The sequence below is a fragment of the Homo sapiens genome, chromosome X (genome assembly GCF_000001405.40).
Source record: "Homo sapiens chromosome X, GRCh38.p14 Primary Assembly".
Lineage (NCBI taxonomy): Eukaryota > Metazoa > Chordata > Mammalia > Primates > Hominidae > Homo > Homo sapiens.
The window spans coordinates 55334058-55346509 of NC_000023.11; the positions used below are offsets into that span (position 1 = coordinate 55334058).

Consider the following 12452-nt stretch of genomic DNA (forward strand, 5'->3'; position numbering starts at 1 on the left):
ATCAGCACCCACTGAGTCTACTATACAATTATGTATTTATACTCACGTCAGCTGTAAATAAATAGTTTTCATTTCCAGATGGGAGATGAAACATCCCTAGCCAATCCTGTATTATGAGTTGGAGGCACTGGTGAATCACAGCTCTATACAGAGATCCAGGAAGGGAAAGAGCCCCAAGGCCAGAGTGGACCATTGTGAGTAGGGAGCAACCTTAACCAGGCACATCTCTACCTGCAAGTGCTGCTTTGTGCCACAGAAATGCAGGTCTGCACATAGGAACTTCTAAGGGCATTCTAGAATGAAAGACCACCCTGTGCTGTCTCCAGAATGATCTTGAGAGTCCACTTTAGGGTCAACTGCCATGTGTTGCAGACAAGAAAATGTAGGCTCAGAGAAGAGACACTCTGGGGCCAAGAGTACACAAGAAAACAGGAGCACAGCTAAGAGTAGGGCCCAAGCTTCTGATTCCCAGGTCTAAGCTCTTTCCACAAATGCAGGAAAAATCTGACTGTGTACCATCCAGGTAGCAGGTGCTATGCAGCAGGAATCCTCTCAGTGCCTAGGTTAGTTCTTGGACCAACCTCAGTGGCCTTGGGTTAATTCAGAACTTACTCTCCTTGAGGATAGATTGGCCAGGCTTCCAAAGGCTCCACCAAAACCTGGAGTTGTGTGGGGAGGAGCAGCAGGAATGGAGCAGAGACCTGGAGTGGAGCTTGAAGATGTTTATTGGCATGGTCAGTCCTGGACCTGGGTGTAAGCAGTCAGTATGCAGCAGGCCTGTATTTACAACAGCCTAGGAGGTGATGCTCACACTTCCAGTAAGACTGCTTATGTTAGGGTCAAAGTTGGGCAATGAGGTACCTCCTGCACATTAGGTTAGGGGGTAACAGCCCTGGTGACAGATGTTCAGAAACTTCTTAAGCTGTGTCCCTACCTTCAAATGCCCAATCTTTCCTGCATGCACTGTGCAGGTTAATGCTGATATGCAGCTCTGACATGGCCCTGCTCAGCTCAAGGTGGCTGTGACTGCTCATGTCCTCCACACGGTTTACCCTATCATCCCCTATGCTCTGACACTGGCTACCTCTCTGCCTTTCTCTCTCTTCTGCACCCTCAACCTGTTTTGTGTTTTGTGTGCAAGTCAAATTGAACTCCTCAACCTCCCCCATCCGTTTCCAACTTCCTGCCTCTGTGCCTTCTCTCCCTTCTTCTCTTGTTAAGAATGCCCTCCCACTTTCCATCATTTTCTCCTACCAGAATTGTGTCCCTCATGCAAGCACAGTTCTGTTCTTTTCTCCCCCATGAATCCTTTTGTGGGCCCCATCCAGATGGGGCTTTCTCTCTCCTTTGAGCTTCACAAAGACCTGGTTGGATACCTCACTATTGGTTTTGAGTTACATTTAATATAGTTGCATCCTGTCTTTCTTTCTGCAGCCTGTACAGTCCCTTCAGGCAGGCAGCCACATGCAACACACAACAAAGGCCTGGTTCAGAGACACTGCTTATAAAAGTTAGTGATAAGAACATGGCTCTCAGTCTCTCAGTGTAGGAGGCAGTGTTTCAGGATTTCGTGACTTCTAAGCCATGCAACCAAGTGTCCATATCTGAAACAAAGTTCTCAAAGAAAGGTATTTGGGAGAGATGATAAAACAAGATTTCAGAAGGTGTATGGTCCTGCAATTAAATGTCTGTTGCCTACCAGCTGTGTGAACTTGGTAAGACACTCAACATCCCTGAGCCATCATCCTTGTCTGCATAATTGGGTAGAAAAACACCCATATAGGCCGGGCACTGTGGCTCATGCCTGTAATCCCAGCACTTTGGGAGGCTGAGGTGGGTGGATCACCTGAGGTCAGGAGTTCGAGGCCAGCCTGACCAACATGGTAAATCCCCGTCTCTACTAAAAATACAAAAATTAGCCAGGCATGGTGGCATGTGCCTGTAGTCCCAGCTACTCAGGAGGCTGAGGCAGGAGAAACGCTTGAACCCAGGAGGTGGAGGTTGCAGTGAGCCGAGATTGTACCACTACACTCCAGCCTGGGTGACAGAGTGACTCCATCTCAAAAAAAAAAAAAAAAAAAAAAAAAAAAAGGAAAAGAAAAGAAAAAAGAAAAAAAGAAAGCAACAACAAAAAAACCACCCATATATAGGGATATTAAGAGTTCTGAATTTCTTAACATAGAAAGAATAGTTCTTTTGGAGCTAAATTGCCTAGTTCTTCTCTGATCCATGTATTTGTATGTATTTTATGTATAAGTGGACAAATGCTTTTGGATTGCAGATATTTGGCTGCTTCCCAAAAGTTTGCTTAATAATAACTCCTGGGAAATGTCATGAATCCAATCATTCCTCCACATGAGAGGGCTTGTTCAAATTGGAAGTAAAATATTACAATTGCAGCACATTAATGTTTAAGAAATATTTTAAGAATATATCATGTTACAGATACTCTGAGAAGGAAGGAATACATGGTGATGGCAAAACAGACACAGTGTCCTGCAGTGGTCACAGTCTAGTGACAGGGACAGACAAATGCCCTTAGGGTCATGACACAGGAAAAAGGATACCTGACCAAATTGGAGGTTGCCTGGCAATCCTGGGTAGAGATGGTGGTGGCCTGGACTAGTAGAGTTAGTCTAGGCATGGAAAGAAGTATAGGGATTAAGAAGCCACTAAGGAGGCAGCCAGTGGAATGTATGAGGACAAGAATTGGATGTATCTGTCTCTGTTGAATTCCCATCCCCTAGCTCCAGGTCTGGGACACAAGGGAACATGAAAACTCTGAGAAATGCAAAATTTATCAGACTCAATGACTGATTGGATGTGGCATTTCAAACAGCTTGGAACTCTTGTATTCCTGGCATCCTCTGTGAGGTAGGTATTAGAGGAATAATTAACAACCACTTGTCAAGTTGAATGTTGCTGTTAATCCCACATGTATCAGTTGGGTATTAGTATGTGCCATGGCAGAGTCATGGGTAGGCTGCAGAGATAAAGAATGTGGCCCAAGCATTAAGAGGCATATAAACATGGTGTGACGATGGTAAGACACTGGGTTTATAGAGCAAAAACCAGGTTGGGGTCCTAGCTCCACCACTAACTTCCTGCTTGATCTTGGATGCATCCCTCTGATTTTGTGAGCCTCAGTTTCCTCATCTGCAAAACCCTATGTGACAGGGTTAATTTAATGTTTCCCAAACTACTTCTGTGGATACATCAAAATCACCTAGGGATTCTAACTTGACAAGCCTGGGGATCCCAGGCTCTTGAGGAAAATCTGATGCGTGGCCAAGTTTGGTAGCCATGGCTCTAGATGGCTTCTCAGGGACCTTCCAGGGCTGGGGCTGTGATACAGATTTACTCCAGCCACGGGAAGTTTTCCTTAAATCAGGACAACCTTTTAGCAACTACTGAAGTTAGTAACTTACGTGTCTGCAAAAAGAAAAGAAATTTGCTTCAGCAACCCTAGCACAGAGATTTTAAAGGGCCTCAGTAGCTTTTGACTGCTTCACTAGTAGCTTTTTCTTTGGAAATAAATGCATCTTTAATATAATTTCTGGGTGAGAATCCTATAAAGCAAGTGTTAGCAGAGGAGAGAGCTATCAGTCAGCGACTTGTTCAAAAAAGTCATGTCTACTCTGCTTTCTCTGCTTTCAAGCCTGCTCCATAGAAAGTAAAACCTGGGAAGAAAGGCTCAAGGCACTGGTCAAAATCTGGTTCCTGGGATGAGCAGTCAAGGGAAGGGGTTTGCTGTCCCAGCTGGGAGCTTGTGTGTGCATACAACCATCCTCTTTTACTTCCCCAGACTAGCACCAAATCTAAGGGATGGTTTCTCTTTTCACTTGTTTGATTTACCAGTGATCTCAGCCAATGTCTGCCCTAGATCAAATGAATGATTCAGATGCAAATATCCTTCAATCATTTACTGATTCAACAAGCATACACAACATGCATTCCATGAGGTTTTTTTCTTTTTGTTTTTTAAAGGAATTTATTTATTTTATTTTTACTTTTTTTTTTTTTTTTGAGATGGAGTTCCACTTTTGTCGCCTAGGCTGGAGTGCAATGGCACAATCTTGGCTTACTGCAACCTCCACCTCCCAGGTTCAAGCTATTCTCCTGCCTCAGCCTCCCGAGTAGCTGGGATTATAGGCACCCGCCATCACGCCTGGCTAATTTTTGTATTTTTAGTAGAGATGGGGTTTCACCATATTGGCCAGGCTGGTCTCGAACTCCTGACCTCAGGTGATTCACCCGCCTCGGCCTCCCAAAGTGCTGGGATTACAGGCGTGAGCCAGAGTGCCCAGCTGCATTCTATAAGGTTTCTATCATGTGCTAAACCTTTTCCTTGATCAGAAATAGTTCTCAACTTCTCCATCTTCACAGAACTCAGTCCAGTGTTGTTGACCTTAGCAGTTGTCGACATTTTTTTTGCACGAATTAATATTATTTCCTGACTCTATGGTTACCAGAGTAGGTAAGTTTGTTTCCCAAGAGAATTGCCAAATGGCAGTGGGGTTTAAGAGGATGGGAACAGCATTTCTGATATGCAGGCTATATGGGTCATGCCAAGACTGCATGTCTAGCACTGCCCCTGGAATTCCTTCAGCACTAGACTGCATCAGAAGACATATGAAATAGGGGCAAAGATGAACTGTGCTGGTAATGGTGATAATAACTTGTGAGGCTGGAGCTAGGTCTTTCTAAATGGAAGGGAAAGAAATAGACCAGATTGAGCACCAGCTATGTGCCAGGTGATAAAACATTTTGATGTTTATTTTCCTAGTTGATTATTTTTTTCAGTTTTAATTTTTGTCTTTTAATTTTTATTGTAAATTGACAATTTATAATTGTATATATTTATGGGGTACAAAATGATGTTATAATTTATTAATGCAATGTGAAATAATTAAATCAAGCTAGGTAACATATCCATCACCTCAAATACTTAAGATTTCTTGTGGTGCGAACATTTGAAATTTACACTCAGTAATTTTGAAATGTAGAAAACTCCATTATTAGCTATATTAACCATGTTGTGCAATAAATCTCAAAAATATTCTTCCCATCTAACTGATAATTCATACCCTTTAAGCTATCTATGATTATCTCTTTTTTACACTTGAGGACATTAGGTATGTATGCATTTAGAGTTAACAAGCAAAGAGCAAATAAGGTGGCAGCCAGATGATTGATAAGAAGCTTGTTTTATGACAGTAGAGGCAAGCAAGAGAGTGGACAGGACCCAGAGGATCTTTAGGGGTGCAGCTTGTGCTACCATGATGCCTAGTAGAAGACACTGCAAAACCATCCAGGCAGTACAGCTAAGCTTTCCAACATGTTGCAAAGTTGAATAACAGGGTAATTGTGGAAGAATATATTTCCCCAAAATGATCATTTTGTCATTCTCACACAAAGAGGTGGAGTCTGTTTCCTCTCGTCTTGAACTTGGGTGGCTTGTGACCCCTCCAACTGAGAGAGCACCCAGGAGATGATGCTAAGTGAGTTCTTAAACTAGGTCATCAAAAAGGTACAGTTTCTTCTCGGTTCTTTCCCTCTTTTTCTTGGAATGCTCACCCTGAAAACCAGCCACCAAGTTACAGGGAAGCTCAGGCCACATGAAGAGAACATATGAGTGTTGCAATCAGCAGCCCTAGCACAGGTCTCAGGTGGCAGCCAATATTTACTAGCAGACATGTGATTGAGTGAGCCTTCAGATGATCCTAGCCTCCTGCCTTTAAGCAACCCCAGTGGAATCCAAGAGAAGCAGAGATTAGCTATTCCTAAAAAGCCCTACCCAAATTCCATATTTGACAGCATTGTCAGTGTTTTAATCCACTACATTTGGTGTGACGGTTAATACTGAGTGTGAACTTGATTGGATTGAAGGATGCAAAGTATTGTTCCTGTGTGTGTCTGTAAGGGTGTTGCCAAGGGAGATTAACATATGAGTTACTGCGAATGGACTGGGAAAGGCCGACCCACCCTCAATCTGGGTGGGCACAATTGAATCAGCTGCCAGCTTTGTCAGAATAAAAGCAGATAGAAGAACGTAAAAAGTCTAGACTGCTTTAGTCTTCTGGCCTACGTCTTTCTCCCATGCTGGATGCTTCCTGCCCTCGAAGATCAGACCCCAAGTTATTCAGCTTTGGGACTTGGACTGGCTTCTTTGCTCCTCAGCTAGCAGACGGCCTATTGTGGGACCTCACCTTGTGATCATGTGAGTCAATACTCCTTAATAAACTCCCATTTATATATACATCTATCCTATTAGTTCTGTCCCTCTAGAGAACGCTGACTAATACCTTTGGGATTATTTATTATGCAGCCATGTTAACTGCAACAGGAACTAATACTTGTGTTTATGTTCTTTACTGTAAATTTAGTTAATCTCTTCCATTTATTTCTACTCCTTAGCCCTTTCACCAGTCCTCTTCACTATTACATAAGCTGTGTTGGAAGTAGTTAAATTTGTTACTTAGTCCATAATTTGGAGAATAATAAAGTGGCCTAGGGCAACACTAGAAGTGGAATGGGCATCACCTGAATGTCTTGGATTAATAGCCATTTTTGCTGAAAAGGTGTGCCATGCTAAGTGGAAGTATTATTGATCTTGTGTATATGAGAAGGTGAGCAGATGCAGACTTCAGGCAGCCAAGCAGTGGACTGTAGTGGACATCTGTGGGGTTTGTTTGCCCAATATCTATACCCTTACCCCCTTCTTTAATGCAGTCTTAGTGGGACAGTCAATTGAAGTGCTAGAACTCCTCTGGCAAAAGGGAGGGCCAGTGACACAAGTGGGAACAAGTAGACTTTCTTCCTTGGAATTTGAATTTTCATTAAAGTAACTTGAGAACTGAAAATAGCTGTAGCTGATTCATGCCGTCAACCTAGATTTTGATTCTGTGAGCTCTCCCACAGCCTTGCATTATACTTCCTTTTGCTTTGGTTAGTCAGAATTAGTTTTTACTGTTTGAAATCAAAGGCCCTAGCTGAAGTCTTGTTTTAGAAAGACTGCTTATGTCATGGATGTGGAGGCTGAGAGGCTGGGCCCAAGACTGTGTATGAGGAGGCTGGTGCACCTAGTTGTACAAGTAAGGGAAGGCAAGACCTGAACTGGGGCAGTGGCTACCAGGGCAGAAGGAAGAGACTGAGTCAGTGAGGTAGAATCCAGAAGATAAGGGTGCTTACTGGAGGTGGGGGAGGGAATGAGGTGAGAAAGAGGGAGTTGTCCAGGGTGGTTTCCAGGCTACTTCCTGCTTGATGCAATGCGGTTGTCAGTCAACAGCACAAAAACCCATTAGGAAGGGGACGGGATTAGGGGCTCGTCAAGGGGAGAAACTGTGCTTAGATTATTTATAAGACATTCAAACAGAATAAGTCCAGAGGTGAGAAATCTGGGCTGACCACAGGAGCAGAGGACTCTCATTAGCATGTGAATAGAGACTGAGGCCTGAAAGTGGGCAAGATCATCTATGAGAGAGGAGAGGGTGAGAGAAAGGAACAGGACTTAAGACCAGTAGGAGAGGTTTCAAGATGATTGACTAGGGACATGCCAGTTCTCTTCAGAAAGAAGATCAAAGTTACTGTGAATGGACAACTTTTGAATGGAAAATGGAGGAAAGAGGGCCAGGACCTTTAGGAGTACCCACAGGAAGAAGCTGGAGCTCAGGAAAAGAAAGCAGCAAGAGCCTGGCTGAGATCCCTGAGGATCTCAGAGCCCTGTGGACAGGGTAAATGGGAGTGCTTCTCTGCTCCCCTCACCCGTCTGGCAATCTGCTGACTGTCAAAGCCCCTCTGCCCCAAAGCCCCACTGCTGGGTAGTGCCACTGCACCACCAGACCACCTGCAAACATACCCCATTACCCATGGTAAACCAACAAGTATCTGAGACAAGTCTCAATCAGCTTAGAAGTTTTATTTTGCCAAGGTTAAGGACCTGGGTGGGAGAGAGGTCTGTGTTTTTTTCCAAAGATGATTTTGAAGTCTTCAGTATTTAAAGGGGAAAAGCAAGCTGGAGGGGAAAAGGAGAGTATGGTAATTCACATGTTGCAAGAGAAAAGGAGCAGGTAGAGGAATAGTCAATTATGTATTAACCTTGAGCTCAGTAAATCAGCACTTTACATATGATAAGGTGAACACGGAGTATCCACCTTTTATCTGTAGCTATCTGCTTAGGAACAAAAGGAAAGCTAACTTCTTGCATGACTCAGCTTTCAGCTTATTTTTTTTTTCTTTTGGTGCAGTGAATCGGGGCCCCAAGTTTTTATTTTGCTTTCACATCATTCTGACTTTGACAAGCACCAGGAACCAGTAGTTCCCCAGGGACATGTGGCCCCTTGGAGATCTAATCCTTAACGCGGTCCGCCCCTAAGGGAGGGGGTCCCACTTGGGACAAAGGAAATGCGGACACAGCACAAACTGCTGAAGGGGGCAGCATGGACGCCCAGGAATGGGCCTGGAGAGAGTGTCATCTCCCACACACACCACCCCCACTGGCCAACACCCCTCCCCACCCGCCGCCAATAATGCCCACCACATCCCTCCTCCAGCACCCCTTCCTTCCCCCAAAAAAACCTCCCTCTGCTAACACCCCTCCCCCTCTCCCCCTACACCGTCTCTCTCTGCCAACATCCCTGCACCGCCGTCCCTACCCCCGTCCCAACACACAGTTCCCGAGTGAGTGGCGGTTCTTACAGGAGTCCCGGTGAGCATGCACTAAAAGAAAATGCTTTTTGTGTTTTTCCGGTGGCCCTACCCTAGCTGAAAGTGAGCCTGCGCCTGCTGAGGCTTTCTAGAAGGGCAGGGCCCAAGTTCCCACCCTACACAGAGCAGCAGCGTCCCGGCAACAACGGTCAGAGTGTAGAGTTGCCTGTCCTGGACTAGGGGAAGAGGCTCTGCCCCATCCCCATTCTAGTGGTAACCATTAGAGAGCAGGATCTAAGGCCAGAGCCGCACTATGGCAGGAACCAAAGGACAAAGCCTTTATAAATAGAAGGTCACGAGTCCTGCAACTGGGGCTTGATAGGGAAGTGGATAGTGTTTCTGCTGGCCCAGGAAAAGGAGTTGGTGCACATCTTCCCCCACATTCCTTCCCTGCCCCGCCACCATCCCGAGACTTTCAGCACACCCCAACACAATTTCTTTCTGCCATCCCTGTCAGGGCAGGTGCATCCACTGGGCACCATACTGGTTCTCACTCTTTCGCTCCCTCTACTGGACTGCATCCTGAACTGCACCACCAAACAAAACTACATGGCTACAATAAGCAGAATCTGAGAATGCTTCTCCCCAGAACCTAACCACAACAAACGAGCCCATACAGATCCTTGGCCCCATGAAAGCATCGGAAATGAAGCCAGTCAGTCTTACACAACATATACCAGTCATACCCTCAAGGGGAAAAAAAAGAATTAAAAAGCTAAAAGGCCCCATTCAAATGATAGGAAATTCAAAAATGAGAAGCAACAGCTCCCTCAAATGAGAAGGAATCAGAGCAAGGACTCCAACAGTAAAATATCCAGTTTGACACCTCCAAAGGCTCACACTGGCTCCCTAGCAACGGATCCTAACCAGAATGAAATGTCTGAAATGACAGATAAAGAATTCAAAATATGGATTGCGGATCCCGTTCCAAGATGGCTGAATAGGAACAGCTGCGGTCTGCAGCTCCCAGCGTGACCCACGCAGAAGATGGGTGATTTCTGCATTTCCAACTGACATACCTGGGTCATCTCACTGGGACTGGTTGGACAGTGGGTGGAGCCCATGGAGGGTGAGCCGAAGCAGGGCAGGGCATCACCTCACCCAGGAAGTGCAAGGGGTCGGGAGATTTCCCTTTCCTAGCCAAGGGAAGCTGTGACAGACTGTACCTGAAAAAACGGGACATTCCTGCCCAAATACTGCACTTTTTTAATGGTCTTAGCAACCAGCAGACGAGGAGATATTTTCCAGTGCCTGGCTCGGTGGGTCCCGTGCCCACGGAGCCTTGCTCACTGCTAGCACAGCAGTCTGAGATTGACCTGTGAGGCTGCAGACTGGTTGGGGGAGGGGCATCTGCCATTGCTGAGGCTTGAGTAGGTAAACAAAGCAGCAGGGAAACTCAAACTGGGCACTGCAGCTTAGCAAGGCCTACTGCCTCTATGGGTTCCACCTATGTGGGAAGGGCATAGCTGAACAAAAGGCAGCAGAAACTTCTGCAGACTTAAATGTCCCTGTCTGACAGCTCTGAAGAGAGCAGTGATTCTCTCAGCACAGCGTTGGAGCTCTGAGAACAGACAGACTGCCTCCTCAAGTGGGTCCCTGACCCCGTGTAGCCTAACTGGGAGACACCTCCCAGTAAGGGTCGACTGACACCTCATACAGGCAGGTGTCCCTCTGAGACAAAGCTTCCAGAGGAAAGATCAGGAAGCAATATTTGCTATTCTGCAATAGTTGCTGTTCTGCAGCCTCCGCTGGTGATACCCAGGCAAACAGGGTCTGGAATGGACCTCCAGGAAACTCCAACAGACCTTCAGCTGAGGGACCAGACTGTCAGAAGGAAAACTAACAAACAGAAAAGAATAGTATCAACATTAACAAAAAGGACATTTACACCAAAACCCCATCTGTAGGTCACCAATATCAAACAACAAAGGTAGATAAAACCACAGAGATGGGGAGAAACCAGAGCAGAAAAGCTGAAAATTCTAAAAACCAGAGCACCTCTTCTCCTCCAAAGGACTACAGCTCCTTGCCAGCAACGGCACAAAGCTGGATGGAGAATGACTTTGATGAGTTGACAGAAGTATGCTTTAGAAGGTCGGTAATAACAAACTTCTCCAAGCTAAAGGAGCATGCTCTAACCCATTGCAAGGAAGCTAAAATCCTTGAAAAAAGATTAGACAAATGGCTATAGAGAATAAATGGTGTAGAGAAGACCTTAAATGACCTGATGGAGCTGAAAACCACAGTATGAGAACTTCGTGACACATGCACAAGCTTCAATAGCCGATTCAATTAAGTGGAAGAAAGGGTATCAGTGATTGAAGATAAAATTAATGAAATAAAGCGAGAAGACAAGGTTAGAGAAAAAAGAGTAAAAAGAAACGAAAAAAGCCTCCAATAAATATGGGACTATGTGAAAAGACCAAATCTACATTTGGTCTAGCAGAAGGCAAGAAATAACTAAGATCAGAGCAGAACTGAAGGAAATAGAGACACAAAAAACCCTTCAAAAAATCAGTGAATCCAGGAGCTGGTTTTTTGAAAAGATCAACAAAATTGATAGACTGCTAGCAAGACTAATAGGAAAGAGAGAAGAATCAAATAGATGCAATAAAAAATGGTAAAGGGGATATCACCACCGATCCCACAGAAATACAAACTACCATTAAAGAATGCTATAAACACCTCTACGCAAATAAACTAGAAAATCTAGAAGAAATGGATAAATTCCTCGACACATACACCCTCCCAAAACTAAAGCAGGAAGACGTTGAATCACTGAATAGACCAATAACAGCTCTGAAATTGAGGCAATAATTAATAGTCTAGCAACCAAAAAAAGTCCAGGACCAGAAGGATTCACAGCCGAAATCTACCAGAGGTACAAGGAGGAACTGGTACCATTCCTTCTGAAACTATTCCAATCAATAGAAAAAGAGGGAATCCTTCTTAACTCATTTTAGGAGGCCAGCATCATCCTGATATCAAAGCCTGGCAGAGACACAACAAAAAAAGAGAATTTTAGACCAATATCCCTGACAAACATTGGTGTAAAAATCCTCAATAAAATACTGGCAAACCTAATCCAGCAGCACATCAAAAAGCTTATCCACCATGATCAAGTGGACTTCATCCCTGGGATGCAAGTCTGGTTCAACATACACAAATCAATAAATGTAATCCAGCATATAAACAGAACCAATGACAAAAACCACACGATTATCTCAATAGATGCAGAAAAGGCCTTTGACAAAATTCAACAGCCCTTCATGCTAAAAACTCTCAATAAATTAGGTATTGATGGGACTTATCTCAAAATAATAAGAGCTATCTATGGCAAACCCACAGCCAATATCATATCGAATAGGCAAAAACTGGAAGCATTCCCTTTGAAAACTGGCACAAGACAGGGATGCCCTCTCTCACCACTCTTATTCAACATAGTGTTGGAAGTTCTGGCCAGGGCAATCAGGCAGGAGAAGGAAATAAAGGGCATTCAATTAGGAAAAGAGGAAGTCAAATTGTCCCTGTTTGCAGATGACATGATTGTATATCTAGAAAACCCCATCGTCTCAGCCCAAAATGTCCTTAAGCTGATAGGCAACTTCAGCAAAGTCTCAGGATACACAATCAATGTGCAAAAATCACAAGCATTCTTATACACCAATAACAGAGAAACAGAGAGCCAAATCATGAGTGAACTCCCATTCACAATTGCTTCAAAGAGAATAAAATACCTAGGAATC

General features: G+C 44.5%; 1 annotated feature.

The window, feature by feature from the left end:
- Positions 8261-8762: an enhancer, noted in NCBI's record as "H3K4me1 hESC enhancer chrX:55368751-55369252 (GRCh37/hg19 assembly coordinates)". NCBI's record gives its function as "activates a minimal SCP1, AML or CMV promoter by ChIP-STARR-seq in primed H9 embryonic stem cells {active_cell/tissue: H9 hESC(primed)}" and the evidence as "EXISTENCE:reporter gene assay evidence [ECO:0000049][PMID:30033119]".